The sequence below is a fragment of the Homo sapiens genome, chromosome 9, assembly GCF_000001405.40.
Source record: "Homo sapiens chromosome 9, GRCh38.p14 Primary Assembly".
Classification (NCBI taxonomy): domain Eukaryota; kingdom Metazoa; phylum Chordata; class Mammalia; order Primates; family Hominidae; genus Homo; species Homo sapiens.
The window spans coordinates 11,296,491-11,316,816 of record NC_000009.12 but is presented as its reverse complement, the minus strand read 5'-3'; the positions used below and the strand labels follow the sequence as shown (position 1 = coordinate 11,316,816).

The window sequence follows — 20,326 nt, the reverse complement described above, 5'->3', positions numbered from 1 at the left end:
CAGGTACCATTTCCTCTTATTTTGTGTGATTTTCTTCTTGGCCATAGATACTTTTGTCACCACATGCATGTGCTTATTAATATTTTTATGAATATTCTAGGGACATCCTTTGTTTATCTCCTGAGTTCTGTCTCTGCAGCCCTCCTTTCTTCTACCCTGATCTATAAACTCTAGCTACTTTCTCTTTCATTGTCTCTTAGATGTCTAACCCTTTTTCAGTTTATCTGCTTCACTTGCCCAAGCTCCCTTTCATTGCATTGTGGCTTGAAAAATCTCTCAGGGAATGAAATTGTTGCAGTTATAGGTTTCAGCTCATATATGTTGCATCTGTCAGGGTCATTATGTTTTGTTTAATAATTCCCAGCTTTTAAAAACTAATTATGTTTTTATTATTCTCTATTTGTTTCAAGTAGATAGATACATCCAGTTCTCTTATTCCAATATGGTCAAAGGTAGGATTTCTTAAGCTTTTCTTGATTCCACATTAGATTCTCCTCTGAATGCATTTTAAACCTGTTATTAACTCTTTCTTCTTGTCCCAAAGTTGAACATGTCTCTATAACCTCTCTCTTGAGTTCCAAGTTCACTTTATCAGCTGCTGATCTATGCTGCCTTGTGAACATCAAAAACAGTTTGTCATAATATATATACATATCTGAAAAAATCCTATAAATCTAGCTTAAAATATTGAAATCATATAAAGTCTATTGTCTGAGCATAATTGAATTAAACTAGAAATCAGTAAATAATGACATCTAGAAAATCACAAATTATTTGGAAAAAATACAACAGATCTTTGAATAATACATTGGTCAAATAATGCATTGGTCAAAATTTCTAACTTAATTTAGAAGTTAGAAAATATTTTGAGCTGGACACAATGAAAGCACATCGTATAAAAATTTGTGGTATGTTACCAAGGCAGTGCTAGGAAGAAACTCTATACCATTTGTGTAAGTCAGTACTAGATGCTACAGTAAAAAAACCATAGCTTGGGTTACTTAACAGAAATTTATTTGTCATAATGGTAGAGGCTGGGAAGTCAAGAGATCAGGGTAGCAGTGTGGTGGAGTTTGGATGAGAATCATCTTTCTGCTTGTCAAATAGCCATCTTCTTGTTGTATCTTCATATAGCAAAGAGTAGAGAGAGAAAACTTCAGCTCTCTAGTGTTTATTTATCTAAACACATTAAACTTGTCATGAGGGCCCAACCTTCATGACCTAATTATTTCCCAGGGGCTGCATATCCAAATACCATTAAATTGGGGTTTACAGTTTCAATAAATGAATTCTGGGGGAGACACATTCAGCCCATAGCAGCATTACATTATTATATTAGAAAAAAAGAAATGTCTTAAATCAAGAATCTAATCTTCTATCTTAAGACAATAAAAAATATGGAAAATTAAAACAAAATTAATAAGGAAAAAAGTATCAAGATAAAAAATATAAATGAAATTGAACAAAAGAAAAACAACAGAGAAAACCAGCTAAAGAAAAATCTGGTTTACAGTAAAAGAATCAATAAAATTGACAGCTTTTTCCCAAATGACCAAGAACAAATATATATAGAGAGAGAGAAAAGAAGAGAACAGAAAGTACCAAGGTAATGAAAGAAAAATATCACTGCTGGCCCAATATAAATAAAAAATAAAATAATGGCATTTCTCAAGTAAATCTCTGTCCATAAATATGACAACTTATGATTGAACACATTGTTTGAAAGATGCTATTTATCAAAATTTATAAATAATTAAGCACACCAATAATATATCCACAAAAGAAATTAAATTTGCAATTAAAACATTGCAATAACAACAAAAAATCTTCAGGCCTAGGTAGATTCACAGAAAAATTTTGGAAAGTATGTACAGAAGAAATAATATTCATTTACATAATCTCACAAAATAGAGGAGGAAGGGAGCTTTCTGAAACTTTTTATAAGACCAATACAATCCACACAATAAAACTAGAGAACATATTATAGGAAAACGAAGATTTAGACCAATATTTCTAATTAATATAGAAACAATTTTTAAAGAAAATATTAGCAACCCCAAAGAAGGAACATATGAAAATATTACTGCGTCATTACCAAATGGTATTTATCCTGGGAAAGCAAGGATAAATACAATTGAAATGATTTAACATTCAAAAATCTAAAGACTCTAAGAATAAAAATTGCATGTGCCTCTGAACAGATGCAGAAACAGTATTCAACAAAATTTAACATCCATTCCTGATGAAAAACTTAATATACTAATACTTGAAAGATTATTCCTAAACCTTATAAATGCTATCTATACAAAACTTACAGAAAATACTATATATAATGGTAAATACTGAATGTTTTCCCCCTAAAATCAGAAATAAGGAAAGGATTTTTCTGATTATAACTCTTATTCAGAATTATACTGGAAGTCATGGCTAGTCCAATTTGACATAGAGCAGAAATAAAAGACATTCTGCTTTGGAAGGAAGATATAAAATTTTCAATATACATAGACTAAGCAATTGTACACACAGTAAATCCGAAGGAATCAAAAAATATCTTAAAACAAATAAGTCAGTTTATAATGTGTAAATTTTCAGTATACATAGACTAAGCAATTGTACACATAGTAAATCCAAAGAAATAAAAAAAATCTTAAAACAAATAAGTCAGTTTATAAATGTAGGAGGATAAAAGTTCAGTATAATAAAATAAATAGCATTTATATATACTAGCAACGACTAGTTGAACTTTTTTTTCAATTTATAAAGACAGTACTACTTAAAATGGTACAAAAAAAACTTGAAATATGTAGATTTTAAGCTAAGAAAATACATGCAAGATACTGCTCAAAACTAACAAATACTAATGAAGAAAATCAAAATGTTCCTAAATAAATGAATTTATGCCATATGTTGGAATTAGAAGATATATTATATTTAAAATATCAACTCTCTGAATATTTATAATATAGATTCAGTATAATCCAATCAAAATACACGAGGGTTTTATTTTGGTAGATACTGACAAGTTCATTTAAAAAATTGTATTAAAAAAGCAAAAGAAATATAATAGCTATAAAAATTTCAGAGAGAGAGGGGGTGGAGCAAGATACCCAAATAGAACTCTTTAGGAATTACCCTCCTGCCCCAGAACACTAAATTTAACAACTATACACACAAGAAAGCACCTTCATAAGAACCAAAAATCAGGTGAGTAATTATAGTACCTGGTTTTAGCATCATATCAAGGAAGGAGACACTGAAGAGAGTAAGGAAACACAGTCTTGAATTGCTGACACCACTTTTCTCTCTGGCAGCCACCACATGGCATGAAGAGAGAATCTGAATACTTGGGGAATGAAAAGAAAAATCACTGTGTGACTTTGCATTGGAATTCAGTGTTGCACTGTCACAGTAAAAAGCAGCATAGAGCAGAATTCATCCAGTGCCCAAGGAGGGAACATTTACACCAGGCCTACACAGAGAGGAATCGTCCTTCCCAGTGGGCAGAACTTGAATTCCAGCTAGCTTCACCACTGTGGGCTAAAGTGCTCTGTGATTCTAAATAATCTTAAAAGGCAGTCTAGGCCACAAGGACTGCAATTCCTGGACAAGTCCTGGTGCTGTCCTTGGCTCAGAGCCAGTGGACTTGGGGAGCACATGACCTAGTAAGACAACAGCTGAGATGTCCAAGGAAGTGCTGTGCCACCCCTCCCCCAGTTCTGGACAGTGAAACTCACAACTCCAGGAGAGACACTTTCCCTCTACTAGAAGAAAGGAGAGGGAATTGTAAAAAGGACTTTGTCTTGGAACGTGGATAAAAGCTCATCCACAGTAAAATGAAGCACCAAGAAGAGTCTTAAAGCCTCTATTCTAGGCCTTAGCTCCTGAATAATATTTCTAGACTCATGCTGGGCCAGAAAGGAACCCGATGACATGAAGGGAAAGATTCAGTTCTGGCAGGATTCATCACTTGCTGACAGAAGAGCTATTGGGCCTTGAATAAACATCAGTTAACAGCCAGGTAGTAGTTGCCATGGGCCTTGTGTGAGACTCAGTACTGTGCGGGCTTTAGGTTTGACCCAGCACATTCTCAGCTGTGGTGGCCACAGGGTGAAACTCCTTCTTTTTGAAGAAAGAAGAGAGAAGAATATAAAGGACTTTGTCTTGCAACTTGGGTGCCAACTTAGACACAGGAAAATAAAACACTGAGCAGGCTCCTAAAGTCCCTAATTCCAGACCTTAACTTCTGAATAGAATTTCCAGACATAGCTTAGGCCAGAAGGGAACCCATTGCCATGAACGCAGAGACCAGCCCTCACAGGATTCACCACCTGCTGATTCAAGAGTCCTTGGGCCCTGAATAAACATCAGTGGTAGCCAGGTAGTAGTTGCCACTGGCAGGCCTGGGGAGTTTCTAAACTACTGCTACTCCCTGGCTGCCACTGGGAGTTAGCAACTACTACAACTACTCCCTGGCTACCACTGAGAGTTGGCAACTACTACCTGGATAACACTGGAGTTCTCCATTGGGAGGAACTCCTTCTGTTTGAGGAAAAGAAAGAAAAGAGTTAAAAAAAAAAAAAGTATTTGTCTTACAATTTGGGTACCAGCTCAGTCATAGTAAAGTAAAGCACCAAGTATATTCCTAAAGTTCCCAATTCCAGGACACAGTTCCCAGACAACATTTCTAAATACACCCTGGGCCAAAAGAGAACCTGCTTGCCCTGAATAGAGAGATACAGCTCTGGCAGGATGCATCACCTGCTGCCAAAGAGCTCTTGGGCCTGGACATTGGTGGCACCCAGGTATTAGCTGCTATGGGCCTTGTGAGAGACTTAATACCATGTTGGCTTCAGTTGTGATCCAGCACTGTCCCAGTGGTGGTGGCAATGGGAGTGCCTGTATCACCTTTCCCCAACAGCAGGCAGTTCAGCATGGAGAGACAGACTCTGTTTGTTTGAGGGAAAGTAAGGGAAAAGAAAAAAAGACTCTGCCTGGTAATCCAGGGAATTCTCCTGAATCTTACTCAGGAGCACCAAAGTGCTGCTTCTGCAAGAGTTACAGCATTACTGGGTTTGGGGTACCCTGTATGCAGATATGGCTGTAGTGACCAAAGACTTAGACCACAACACTCAATTCCTTTTGAATACTTGGAAAGCCTTCTTAAGGAGGATAAATGCAAATAAGTCCAAACTGCAAGAATGAGAATAAATGCTTAATTTTTTAATGCCCAGATATTGAAAGACATCCAAAAGCACGAAGACCATTCAGGAAATTACAGCATCACAAAACAAACTAAGTAAGACACCAGTACCCAATTCTGGAGTGACAGAGATATGTGACCTTTCAGAGGGAGAATAAAAAATAGCTGTTTCTGAGAAAGCTAAATGAAATTTGAGGTAAAACAGGGACAAAATTTAATAATCCTATCAAATAAATTTAACAGATTTTTAAATGATTTTTTAAGAAATAGAGCAGAAATTCTGGAGCTAAAACACTCAATTCATGTATTGAATAATGCATCAGAGTCTCTCAGCAGCACAACGATACTTTCAAGCAGAAGAAAAAAATAATAAGCTTGAAAAGAGGCTATCCGAAAATACATGGGCAGAAGAATCTAGAGAACAAATAATTTAAAAAAATAAACAACACCTACAGGATCTAGAAAACAGCTTCATAAAAGCAAATTTAAGAGTTGGGGGGTACACACGCAGATTTGTTAGCTGAGTATGTTGCATAATGCTGAGGTTTGGAGTACAACTGATCCTGTCAAGCAGATACTGAGCATAAGAGCCAATAGTTTTTCAACACTTGCCCCGCTCTATTCCTCCCTGCTCTGGTAATCCCCACTATCTGTATTTGCCAGGTTTATGCCCATGAGTCCCCAGTGTTTAGCTCACTTTTATTTATTTTGTTTCTTATTTTTATTTATTTATTTATTTTTTTGAGATGGAGTCTTGCTGTGTCACCCAGGCTGGAGTGCAATGGTGCAATCTCAGCTCACTACAACCTCCGCCTCCCGGGTTCAAGTGATTCTCCTACCTCAGCCTCCTGAGCAGCTGGGATTAAAGGCGCCTGCCACCAAACCAGGCTAATTTTGTACTTTTAGTAGAGACAGGGTTTCACCATGTTGGCCAGGCTGGTCTTGACCTCCAGACCTAAGATGATCCACTTGCCTCGGCCTCCCAAAGCGCTGGGATTACAGGTGTGAGCCACTGTGCCTGGCATATCTCTCATTTATAAATGGGAATATGCAGTTTTGGTTTTCTGTTCCTGCATTAGTTTTCTTAGAATGTCCTTCAGCTGCATCCATGTTGCTGCAAAGGACATGATATGATAATTTTTACATGGCTGTGTAGTATTCCATGGTATATTTCATGGTATATATGTACCATTTATTTTATCCATCCACCACTGATGGGCACCTAGGTTGATTCCATATCTTTGCTCTTGTGAATAGTACTGTAAAGAACAAACAAGTGCATGTGTCTTTTTGGTAGAACTATTTATTTTCATTTGGATATATACCCAGTTATGAGATTGCTGGGTCAAATGGTAGCTCTGCTATAAATTCTTTGAAAAATCTTTAAACTCCTTTCCACAGTAGTTGAACTAATTTACATGCTCATCAACAGGGCCTAAGCCTTCTGTTTTCTCCACAGCCATGCCAGGATCTGTTGTCTTTTGACTTTCTGCAAATACCCATGCTGATTGGTCTAAGATGATATCTCATTGTAGTTTTGACTTACATTTCTCTGAAAATTAATGATGCCAAGTATTTAAAAAGATACATAAAATCAACAGACTTACAACCAGACTAAAAATAAAAGAGAAAATAAACAGAATATGAAGTAAAAAAATATTACAGCAGACACCAAAGAAATTAAAAGCAACATTAGAGAGTACTGTAAACAACTATATGCCAATAAATTGGAAATACTAGAAGAAACAGATGAGTTTCTAGACATATAAAGCGTACCAGTATTGAATCATGAAGAAATCCAAAACATGGATAGGCCAATAACAAATAATAAGATTGAAACAGTACTAAAGAGTCTCCCAGGAAAGAAAAGTGAACCCAATGGCTTCACTGCTGAATCTTACCAAACATCTAAAGAACCAATACTGATTCTACTCAAATTATTCCAAAAAATACAGAAGGAGGAAATATTTCACTCATTCTTTGAGGCCAGTTTTACCTTAATACAAAAACCAGACAGACATGTCAAAAAAAGGAATCTACAGGTCAAAATGTCTGATGAACATTGATGCAAAAATTCTCAACAAAATTCTAGCAAACCAAATTCAACAACACATTACAAAGATAATTCATCGTGACCAAGTGTGATTTATCTCAGGGATGCAAGGATGGCTCAACATATGTAAATCAGTGAATGTGATACATTTTATCAACAGAATGAAGGACAAACCTCATATGTCATTTCAATTGAGGCTGTAATAGCATTTGATAAAATTCAACAGCATTTATTCATGATAAAAATCATCAAAAAACCGGATATAGAAGGAACATACCTCTACACAATAAAAGCCATATATGACAGACTCACTGGTAGTATTATACTGAATAAATAAACTCTTAAAGCCTTTTCTCTAGAGTCTGGACTATGACAAGGATTCTCACTTCCATCATGATTAAACATACTACTGGAATTCCTAGCTAGAGAAATCAGATAAGAGAAAAAAAAGGCATATGAATTGGAAAGAAAAAAAGTCAAATTATTCTTGCTTGCAGATGATACTTTTGCAGAATGTTTGCTTCTTAGTTAAGCTAAAAACGGGTTCTTGTCACATGACCAGGAAGGATTAGGAATGAGGAAACATTGAAGGGTGAGTGGAGCAAAATTTATTGAGAAAAAAAGAAAACCTCTCAGCAAAGCGAGAAGGGTTCCTGCCAATGGGCTCCCACTCCACGAATTCCAGACCACAACACGTGAGCTGAAGAGGCCAGGCTCTTCCCCACGCACAAGGCATGAAATTTCCATGGTTTTACCCCATTTTGCCAGTGTGCAGGAGGGTTGGAGATTTTCCAAGCACCCTCCCCCTTATCTGCCTCCTGCATTTATCATCCCTCCACCTAAAAAAGTACATCTAACTGCCATTAGAATAAAAATAAGGATAAGGGCAAAGACTGATCTTAACTGCTTCCTGCCAATAGTGGCTGCTGTTTTGGGAAAAAGGCAGTCAGATCTCCCTCAGTGGCCTATCCAAATGTCCATGGCAAAAGGGGCCCTCATCTGAGGCCCTGTTGCATGATCATTTGGAGTTCAAAAGCCTGAATGCAAGGAGAGACAAACTGGGTTATTTGAAGACATGTATAAAAATGAAATGAGTGGAGGAGGAGTAAAGACAGCCCAAAAATCCCAAGGACTTTCACCAGTTTTCACAGGGAGAAGGAGGCCAAAAGCCTAACTGGCAAAGAAAAAAAAAAAAAAAACAGAGCAAAAAAATAAAACAAACAAACAAAAACTTTAACCCTTTTGTTGGCATGTTGGGCTTCTGGGTTTTCTTTCCCTGAGCCCAATCCTAAGCCAACCGAGAAATTAACTTTTTCCAGTTTGGAGGGGAGTGTCCCACAGTACAGAGACACAATAGCATATCAGTGAGGAAAGGACAGAGGAGGAAGAAGGAGAAAGGAGGCATTTTTTTCAAAGGAGTCTGAGGGGTTCAGGATGCATTTGAAAGAAGTACAAACTGAATATGAATGGCTACTAATCTAGAAAAAGGGAAGTAATGCTTTCCAGGTTTCCTTATTTTTCTAGCAAATACCTGGGGTATGTATGGAGAGAAAGTGAGGCATTCCTCTTTCTTTCTTTCATTCTTATATACTCGAGTCTAAGCGACAATAATAGGGTGCAGCCCATGGGTGTTAAAGTGGCTTTCACCCATGTTAACAGAAGGGCCATACTCAGATATGCCAACATATCCCCTAACTCCCCTGCAGTCAGTAGCCTTTGAATTCCCTAGACCTCATTTATGCCATGGATATTAGCATGACCTTTATCCATGAAATGGGAAGCTTGGCTTAATGAGCAAAAATTAGTCATGCTCACCTGCACTATGCCTTTTAACTTCCATTATCATCTGCCTATGGATCCCTCTGATCCAGTTCTCTTTCCTAGGGCTTCCACCTGAAACTTGGAATTGAGTTTGGGACCAAAAACATGTCTCAGGGAGGGGGTTGCATGGACTCTTTATTATAAGCTGAATGCTAAGATGAAGCTGGGGAATTCAGTTCTCCTCCAACAAGGGAGAGAAAAGGATGTCCTGTGACATGTGCAGATGACTGGTGACTATAATTATGCTTGCTAAGATTTGGGTGCATGGGGCTTGGCTTTGACTAGCTCCCTTGGTCTTACTTTCCTAAAAAGGAAACCTCCAGGTGATGGGCATCCTATTTAGACCCATCACTAGACAGGATTTGCAGATAATTGCTCAGAACTAGAATATTGATCTCAATTTTTACATTACCCATCATTTTTTATTCCTTATAAGCTGCTGTTGGAGATCACTGGATGGTTCACAGGGATAAGCAGAGTTAGTTTAAACTGTAGGCAAGAACTTAAAAACAACCAATGAGTCTAGAATTTAATGACAAATGTATAAGATTTGTAGCATAATTTCTCTCTCTCCAGTCTTCATTTCTGTTAAAAACAAATCATCATAGTATTGAGTTATTGGAAAAATAGACTTTAGTCTTACACTTCGCCTGATTATTTGCATAAATTGCAGGACAAATAATTATCTCTACATGGGCCTTTTAGATTGGCTTTGATGGAAGTCTGTTCCACAAAGAATCTCAGATAAGACCTTTTAAAGCTGAGCCCAGTTATGGGTTTGTACCCTCAAATACCTGTGAGTTGGCTAAAGTTCTCTCTTCTTGAGGTCCAAAGACCATAAGGTTCCTGGGCCTGTTTGAAAGTGACATTATTTACTCACTACAAGTTAAGAACCCTGTACAGGGACTGTGTAGACAAGGTATGAGGCCAGTCTTCCCAAGGGGTTTTTATTGGCTCTGCAAGTCAAGCTTGTCTTCTTAAAGGGAAGCATAACCTTCTAATCAAAACTTTAGTAAAATAATCTATTTCTCCAATTGCATCCTGTTGCCATAAGTTAATAGCACTCACAACTAGTTTCCAAATTCCAGAGAAGCCCAGCAGAGAGAGAGAGACAACTATGCTCCAAATGTTGTTCATGGGAGTATACTCACTCAAATATTAAAGGCCATAAATAGCTCAAAATAAGTTTCCTTGACTCTGGAAAACAAAACAAGGATCAGCAATGTTCTAAGCAAAAGTGAAAAGATTGCTTCAGTTTTCTATTTGTTCAGTCCATTCAGATAACTCTTATTTATTTATTTATTTATTTATTTATTTTATTTTGAGACAGAGTTTTGCTCTTGTTGCCCAGGCTGGAGTGCAATGGTGCGATCTCGGCTCACCACAACCTCCGCCTCCTGGGTTCCAGCGACTCTCCTGCCTCAGCCTCCCAAGTAGCTGGGATTACAAGCATGGGCCACCACACCTGGCTAATTTTTTTTATAGTTTTAGTAGAGATGGAGTTTCTCCATGTTGGTCAGGCTAGTCTCGAACTCCTGATCTCAGGTAATCCTCCCACCTCAGCCTCCCAAAGTGCTGGGATTACAGGTGTGAGTCACCGCGCCCAGCCCAACTCTTGTTTTGCTTGATGTTCATAAACATTTCAGCTCTTCATGAGTCCTGTACATTTTCCCTTTATTCCAATGTTACAATGTCCAAAGTTATCAGAAACCTGCATTTGAGAGCACCTGTCAAAGTTCTATACCTGATTATAAAACATCTTTTGAAGAAGATGTAGACAAGACAATTGTATGTGAATAACAAAATATTCAGGGTAGTTACACTCAAAAATATGATTGACAAAGATATTTGGTTATCTCTGTGGTTTATAATAACTTAACATAATAACCTTAATTATGATTGGAAACATAAACTCAGGCATTAGAATTACAGAAATTCCATACAATTTTGGAGCATATATTAATATTATTTCCTAAAATATAACCTGAAGAAGATTAAACATCACTTTGGCAATATCATGTATGTCAAATAATCAATATGTCAAATAATCCTGTTTACATTTTTTATGGATGCTCCAGGGGCCCTCTGTAGCATCCAAACATCAGGCATAAAGAAAAACAATTTTGAAACTGAAGTTTGATTTTGGGAAGCCTGTTAAATGTCCGAGATTTAAAACACTGTATATTATAAGATAGAATTCCAGATTACCATAAGTTATTTATTTTGCCAAAATGATGACTCAGAAATTTTTAAAAAACATAAATCTTTTTACCTTTACACATTTTGCTAAAGAGAAAATTACTGTCTTAAGAGTACCTTGTTGTTGGTGGCTCACGCCTGTAATCCCAGCACTTTGGGAGGCTGATGACAGCGGATCACGAGGTCAGGAGATCCAGACCATCCTGGCTAACACGGTGAAACCCCGTCTCTACTAAAGATACAAAAAATTAGCTGTGCATGGTGGCTGGCACCTGTAGTCCCAGCTACTCGGAAGGCTGAGGCAGGAGAATGGCGTGAACCCGGGAGGCGGAGCTTGCAGTGAGCCGTGATGGCGCCACTGCACTCCAGCTTGGGCAACAGAGCGAGACTCCACCTCAAAAAAAAAAAAAACAAAAGAGTACCTTGTGTTTTTATTTCAGTGCTCACTTTACAGAAAAACCATATTATACCTTTTTGAATTTAGTCAGAATATTAACACATGGAATTTCCTTTGCTAGATTAACTTTTACAATCCTTCCACAACTTGTTTGAACTTTTAGCTTTATCCTATCTATTTCAAAATGATTTTTAACCCTATGCAACAATTTACATTTCTATGCCTACTTATAATCTTTAATTAAAAACACATTTTAATGTTCTTACATACCTCACATGTAAATCTATTTTTAGTAGTCCCAATTACATGTTATGTGGTAACTCCTAGCAATTTTTAACTTTAATGTCAAACTTGGTAAGTTGTTTAAATTATGTGCGCATTGCAGCCAAGGTTTGACTCATAATTAAGGGTGCATAATTAAGGGTGCTGTTAATTCCATATGTCCCAAGCCTTTCCAATTGTGAAGCAGGCAAGTCAAACATTTCTCAAAAACATAAAAAGCAATTTATAACCTTATAACATTTTGCAAACCTATTATCTGACATGCATAATTTAGTTTACCTATTTACATTTTGACAACATCTGCATTTCACCAATAATATTTAAGGCTGTTTTTATTTCTCAAATATTAAAGTCACAGGAGCTAAAAGGTACCACAGCTTTTGTCTCTGTTTTAAAAAATATTTGATCCAATCACTTATCTTCCTTTAGGCTAGTTAATTAGAGCTCCTTTTTTTATAGACATCATCACACAACACACATATAACTACACAGGCAAGAGAAGACCCAGTAGCTATATGATTTTTCATGGGCCAATCTCCTAATTGGATTATTGGCCTCCATGAGGAACCCTTTAAGAGGCAGGCCGAGGAAAACATGTAGTTTCTAGGGCCTAATAAACAGGCATAACTGTGAGACAAAAACAGATTTTGAAATGGATCTATCCAATTTTAATTCCTGGGATTCCATGAAGAAAACAGATTTCTTCCCAAAACGGGACCAGTGGCACCTTCTCTATTTATTCCAAAGAGTCCCATGACCACAGAAGTTATCTTAGAGCCTCTCATGTGTGCATTAAGAGTGTCAAGTCAAAATGGAGAAAAATAATTAAGTCAACTGAGAAAAAAAACTTTTCCAGCAAAACAAGATCCAAGAAGAGAAAAAACATAAAGGCCTTTTAAATATACCTGTAACTTGGATATCCACTTTTAATTAAGATGTGTGCTCTTTAAGGAAATCCTTTTAAATTCCTTGTTATCCAACTTTAGCTGCAATATTTCTGGTTTTCAAACATGACTAAAGGCTCAGAGAAAGGAAAAACCAAGGCAGTTTTTGGAGGAGAAGATAAACAACAAATGGCAAAAGGTCATGCAGATATCAAACCAGAAAGGACTAATTTCTTAAGCCAGAAGTGAACCCTAGCTGCCACTGTAAAATGACAAAGGCTAAACCAAAGCATTGCCAGGTGGTTACAGGTCTTATTCTTATATAAACGGATTGTTTCAACAGAGTGATAAACTTAATCGCTGCCTGACTGAGCTGGACCCTTTAGCTGAGGGAGAGGAAGACTCTGTGGATGCATGGCTTGAAATGCTGGCCAGTCTGCCATGCAGCGCCTTTGGGCCATGTGCCCCAGCCTTGCCTAAAAGGGGTTGGGGGTGAGGAGCCATTTGCTTGTCTGTCCCAAAAGAAAAGAAAAAGGCTGACATTCTTGACCCCTGGACTGACAGGGAGGGGAGCAGTGAGGCACAATTTCCTTTACCCTCAGAAGTCTGAGGACAAAAAGTCTTAGACGCGAAAGGGAAAAAGCTTTTTTGGTTTGCATCTTACTCACTCTTTCTCATACCCCTGCATAAGCCACCAAAATGTTGCAGAATATTTGCTCCTTAGTTCAGCTAAAACTCGATTCTTGTCATACAACCAGGAAGGATTAGGAATGGGAACACATTGAAGGGTGAGTAGAGTGGAATTTATTAGGAAAAAAGAAAACAAATAAAAAACTCTCAGGAAAGTGAAAGGGGTTATTGCCAATGGGCTCCCACCTCACAGATTGAATTCCAGGCCACTACACCCAAGCTGAAGAGACCAGGCCCATCCCCACTGCACAAGGCACAAAATTCTTCTGGCTCCACCCAATTTTTCCAGTGTGCAGGTGAGTTGAAGATTCTCTGGGGAACTCTCCCTCTTATCTGCCTTCTGCATCTATCAATACAATCTTATATTGGAAAAACCTAAAGACTCCACCACAAAAACTAAAACTTGGAACTAATAAACAAATTCAGTCAGTTGTAGGAGACAAAATCAACATAGAAAAATCAGTAACATTTTTACATGTCAGCAGTGAACAATGTGAAAACAAAATTTAAAAAATCACATTTACAATAACCATAAGTGAAATAAAATAGGAATAAACTTAACCAAAGAAGTGAGAGATAGCTATAATGACAACTAAAAAACATTGATGTAAGAGATTGAAGAGGACATTAAAAAACGAAAAGATGTTCCTTGTTCATAAACTAAAAGAATCAATATTTTTTAAATGTCCCTACTACTCAAAGCAATCTACAGATTTAATGCAATCCCTATCAAAATACCAACGACATTCTTTACACAAATAGAAAAAAATTCTAAAATTTATATGTAACCATAAATAACAAGAATAGCCAAAGCCATCCTGAGAAAAAACAACAAAAGTAGAGGAATCACATTACCTGACTTCAATTTACACTACAGCGCTATCGTGACAAAAACACTATGGTATGGATATGGTTTGACTGTATCTCCATCCAAACCTCAATTTGAATTGTATCTCCCAGAATTCCTACATGTTGTGGGAGGCATCCAGGGGGAGGTAATGGAATCATGGGGGCCAGTCTTTCCTGTGCTATTCTTGTTATAGTGAATAAGTCTCATGAGATCTGATGGGTTTATCAAGGGTTTCCACCTTTGCTTCCTTCTCATTTTCTCTTGCCACCACCACGTAAGAAGTGCCTTTGCCTCCCACCATGGTTCTGAGGTCTACCCAGCCACGTGGAACTCTAAGTCCAATTAAACCTATTTTTCTTCCCAGTCTTGGATATGTCTTTATCAGCAATGTGGAAACAGAGTAATACAGTAAATTGGTACCAGAAGAGTGGGGCATTGCTGAAAAGATACCCGAAAATGTGGAAGCAGCTTTGCAACTGGATAACAGGCAGATGTTGGAACACTTGAGAGAGCTCCGAAGAAGACAGGAAAATGTGGGAAAGTTTGGAACCTCCTAGAGACTTGTTGAATGGCTTCAACAAAATTGCTGATAGTGATGTGAACAATAAGGTCGAGGCTGAGGTGATCTCAGATGGAGATAAGAACTTGTTGGGAACTAGAGCAAATGTGACTCTTGTTATGTTTTGGCAAAGAGACTAGATAGCGGCATTTTGCTTCTGCCCTAGAGATTAATGAAACTTTGAACTTGAAAGAAATGATTTAGGGTATCTGGCAGAAGAAATTTCTAAGCAGCAAAGCATTGAAAAGGTAGTTTGGGTACTATTAAAGGCATTCAGTTTTAAAAGGGAAACAGAGCATAAAGTTCAGAAAATTTGCAGCCTGACTATGAGATAGAAAAGAAAAACTCATTTTCTGGGGAGAAATTCAAGCCAGCTGCAGAAATTGGCATAAGTAACAAGGAGCCTAATATTAATTCCCAAGACCATGGGGAAAATGTCCCCAGGCCATGTCAGACACCTTCATGGCAGCCCCTCAAATCACAGGCCCAGGAGGAAAAAATGGTTTTGTGGGTGGGGCACATGGTCCCTATGCTGAGCGCAGTCTAGGGACTTGGTGCCCTGTGTCCCAGCTGCTCCAGCTGTGGCTGAAAGGGGTCAACATAGAGTTTGGGCTGTGGCTTCAGAGGGTGGAAGTCCCAAGTCTTGGGAGCTTCCACATGGTGTTAAGCTTGCAGGTGCACAGAAGTCAAGAATTGAGGTTTGGGAACCTCCATCTAGATTTCAGAAGATGTATGGAAATGCCTGGGTGCCTTGGCAAATGTTTGCTGCAGGGATGGGGCCCTCATGGAGAACCTCTGCTAGGGTGAAGAAAGGAAATGTGGGATCAGAGTTCCTATACAGAGCCCCTACTGGTGCATTGCCTAATAGAGCTGTGAGAAGAGGGCCACCATCCTCCAAACCCCAGAATGGTAGACCCACCAACAGCTTGGACCATGCACTTGGAAAAGCCACAGACACTCAACACCAGCCTGTGAAAGCAGCCAGGAGGGAGGGTTTACCCTGCTAAGCCACAGGGGCAGAGCTGCCCAAGACCATGGGAAACCACCTCTTGGAACAGTGTGACCTGGATATGAGACCTAGAGTCAAAGGAGATCACTTTGAAGCTTTAAAATTTGACTGCCCCACTAGATTTCAGACTTGCATGGGCCCTGTAACCCCTTTGTCATGGCCAATTTATCCGATTTGGAATGGCCGTATTTACCCAATACCTGTACCCCTTTTGTATCTAGGAAGTAACTAGCTTGTTTTTGATTTTACAGGCTCATAGGTGGAAGGTGCTTGCCTTGTCTCAGATAAGACTTTGGAATGTGGACTTTTGGGTTAATGCTGAATGAGTTAAGACTTTGGGGGGCTGTTGGGAAGGCATGATTGGTTTTGAAATGTGAGGACATGAGATTCAGAGGTGCCAAGGACAGAATGATATTGTTTGCCTGTCTCCCCACCCAAATTTCATCTCCCAGAATTCCCATGTGCTGTGAAAGGGACCCTACCTTAGGATAGGTCCTAATCCAGCCTTACTGGTAACCATATAAGAAGAGACTGAGGTGCATAGAGAGACACCAAGGGCACAGCCACAAAGAGAAAACACCATGTGAGGACACAATAAGCAAGCGACTATTTGAAAGCCAAGGAGAGAGGTCTCAGAAGCCAAACTTGAGGACACCTTGATCTTGGACTTATAGCCTCTAGAACTGTGAGAAAATAAATTTCTGTTGTTGATGCCATCCAAGCTGGGGTTTTTTTGTTTTTTTTTTTTCTTTTTTTTCTTTTTTTTTTTTTAATGACACTGTGTTGCATTCGGTGGTCTCAAGTATCTTAGTTAACTAGTCCTGGTTGTGAGACAAGAACCCATACCTAGCTTCAAGGAGCAAAAATCCTGCATCACATTCTTCTTTCTTTTACTGTACATCAGGCTTGTCCAACCAAGGGCCCATATGCCACATGTGGCCCAGGAGAGCTTTGAATGTGGCCCAACACAAATTCATAAGCTTTCTTAAACCATTATGAGATGTTCTGTGATTTTCCATTTTTGCTCATCAGCTATTAGGGTTAGTATATTTTACATGTGTCCCAAGACAATTTTTCTTCTTCCAATGTGGCCCAGGGAAGCAAAAAAAAAAAAAATGTGTACTTTAAAATTTATTTTTATTTATTCATTTTTTTTGAGACAGAGTTTCACTCTGTCGCCCAGGCTGGAGTGCAGTGGCACAATCTCGGCTCACTGCAACCTCTGTCCCCTTGGTTGAAGCGATTCTCCTACCTCAGCCTCCTGAGTAGCTGGGATTACAGGCACCTGCCACCTTACCTGGCTAATTTTTGTATTTTTCATAGAGACGGGGTTTCACCATGTTGGCCAGGCTGGTGTTCAACTCCTGACCTCGTGATCCACCTGCCTCGGCCTCCCAAAGTGCTGGGATTACAGGCATAAGCCACCACGCCTGGCCTAAAATTTATTTTCTTAGTGGCTATCTTGACAGGCACAATCAACATGTTAAACGTATAAATAAAATCACATTTGAATAATACAAATTTCATTTTAATAGCATACAAGTACTCTTTTCCTTCACATCTCTGTCCCTCCAGTTTTATATTGTTATTGTCACAGAGTACATATTTTTCCAGTGAGTGGACATTACCATAGACTTATAATGATTGTTTAGGATATTTTCCTTTTAAATTGTATAAAAAAAGAGGATTCACAAGCCAACATATGATAATATTGGCTTTATATTTACTTATATAATTAACTTTACCTGTGTTCTTTGTTTCTTCACGTCTTTTATTTATTGTCTAACATGTTTCATTTTATACTGAACACCTTCCTTTAGAATTTGTTTAAGAGACTCCTTTAGCTTGTTTATCTGGAATGTCTTAATTTCCCTTTTATTCTTGAAGAATCATATGGCCAGATATTGAATTATTTGTTGACAGTTTTTTGCTCTTTTCCAGTGCTGAAACAGTCCATCCCACAGGCTTCTATTCTCAGAGATTATGATAAAATATCAGTTGTTAACTTTATGGAGCATACTTTGTACCTGATGAGTCATTTCTTTTTGCCGTGTGGTCTCTAGCTCTTCGTTTTAGGGTTTTGGTAATTTGATGGTAATGTAAATCTCTGAATTTATCCTGTTTGGCATTTACTGAGCTTCTTATAAGGATATTCATGGTTTTTATCAGATTTGGAAAATTTTTGGTTATTACTTCCTAAAATATTTTTTCCCTTTCTCTCTGTCTTCTCTGGGACTCTTCTAATGCATATATTGGTATGCTTGACGGTGTCCCACAGTTCCCGTAGACACTGTTTATTTTTCTACATTTTTTTCATTTCTGCCACAATGCTCTCACTCCTTAGAGATTGCCATTGTTATTTTTTGAGGACTTTACTCATACACTGATATAGTGACTTTTTCAAAATATTTTCGCAAAGTTTGAATTTCTTGTATGTGGTCACTGAAATTTTTGTTCTATTATCTCAGTAGTCAGCCTGTGATATGAAGTAGATTTTCTTAAATATCTGGATTTCGAAACAAGGTATATTTGCCATTTTAAATCTTAGGATAGATGCCTCTTGGGAATTCAATGCGGCCTAAGGGGTTTCAAACAAAGGCAAGTAGGCAAGTGTCTCCATTGTTTCCCCTAAGGGACACCAGACTGACCAAAATTTACAATTCTAAATTATTGGAAGTAAAGAAGGTTACTTGTCCACCCTTACACCAGATGACATAGTAGGATAACTATCCCATGTTTGCTAGGAGGATAAAGAATAGGGGGAAATACCTGATTCAAGCAAGCTGCTCCCTTATGAAAGTTTAACAGCCTCTGCTTTCTTTCATGAGGGACTCCCCACTTGCTGTGTCTAATTAGATTCCGGAGTTCTCAAGTAGTTTATTATGATAGTCTTCTTTTTTTTTTTTTTTTCCTGTTAAATGGTTATTTTGGTGGCAGGACCAAGTCCTGGAAATTCCTACTCTGTCATTTTCTGTGACACTCAGTTAGAAATAACCTAACTGAGGTTATTTCTAAACAGTCATTTTGCAGGACTACCTGTGGTCACACTTTTAGATGATATGTAAATTAGTGGAGAGGAGTAGAATTTGAAGCCTAAAGACTTGTGCTTGATTCTCATCAGTATCAGGAAAAATTGTATTTCCCTGGAAAATTTTCTGAATTATTAGAAACCTTTTCTCATTCAAAATATAGGGGGAAGTCAAGATGGCTAACCAGGCACAGCCAGGTGGATCATTTCTTACCAAAAGGATGAGACTTCAGGAAGACTGGCACATTCTGAGCAGATCTTTGTGGGGAAGGCATTGAGAGTGGACAGAGGTAAGACACAGTCACTGTACGGAAAGGGGAGGAAGCTGGGAATCCTGGCTGGGGCTGTTGACCACCATAACCCACTCTTGGACTGCTCAGATGAGGAGTGGCCTGCGCTCAGCATGGACCCCCAGAATCCTAGCTGCAGGAGAATCCACAATCCCCATGGACACTTCAGCTAGCACAGACAGATGCTTAGAGAGTTGGCATAGGTAGGACTCCCGTATGTGTGAAGCCCAGAGAGTTTGGTGTAGGAATTGCTGAAGTGGAGCACGGCCAAGAATGCCCATATCCCCAGGCTTACCAGGCTCGTCTAGGTGGCTTTAGCCTTTGAATGACTGCCGGGCATCAACAGAACAGGGTGGTCTTGCCCATGGGACAAAGAAAGTTTGATCTGACCTCTTCTGGGGCTCCAGCCTGGCCATATCTGCTTGCAGCACAGCCTCAGATGCCCAGCCACCTTTTTTTTTTTTGACGGAGTTTTGTTCTGTTGCCAGGCTGGAGTGCAGTGGCGCGATCTCGGCTCACTGCAACTTCCGCCTCCCAGGTTCAAGCAATTCTCCTGCCTCAGCCTCTGAGTAGCTGGGACTACAGGCATGCGCGACCACGTCCAGCTAATGTTTGTATTTTTAGTAGGGACGGGGTTTCACCATGTTGGCCAGGATGGTCTCATCTCTTGACCTTGTGATCTGCCCGCCTCGGCCTCCCAAAGTGCTGAGAATTACGGAAGGTAGCCACCGCGCCCGGCTCCCAACCACCATTCTTTCCGGGATTCTCATCATAGCAATTTTGCTGGCTGACTTCACCTTAGCATTGGAAAGCTCAAGCAGACTGGTGCCTGCCAACATGACCAACCCACCCAGAGCCTCCCCTCACCACAGCTTTCCCCTGCTGTTTTGCTGGTTTACACTTCCGCATGGCCCTCACTCACCACTTTTCTGTGTCAGGGTGTTGGCAGATATTGCATCTCCTCTAATGATATGCATGTATGCACATAACCCACCACTGCCAGCACAATTGCACCTGACTGCCCTGCCCACACCCACCAGCATTCCACTCCTGCTCAGGAACAG

General features: G+C 38.9%; 1 long non-coding RNA gene across 4 annotated transcripts in view; it reads left to right on the top strand.

Annotated features, from left to right (window-relative positions):
* Nucleotides 1-20,326, top strand: part of LOC105375974 (uncharacterized) — a 248,630-nt gene that overhangs the window by 185,782 nt on the left and 42,522 nt on the right. For all 4 annotated transcript variants that reach the window (XR_007061893.1, XR_001746618.1, XR_929476.2 and 1 more), the window contains exon 3: nucleotides 19,137-19,262. This is a non-coding gene — a long non-coding RNA (uncharacterized LOC105375974). The remainder of the gene's footprint in view (nucleotides 1-19,136; nucleotides 19,263-20,326) is intronic.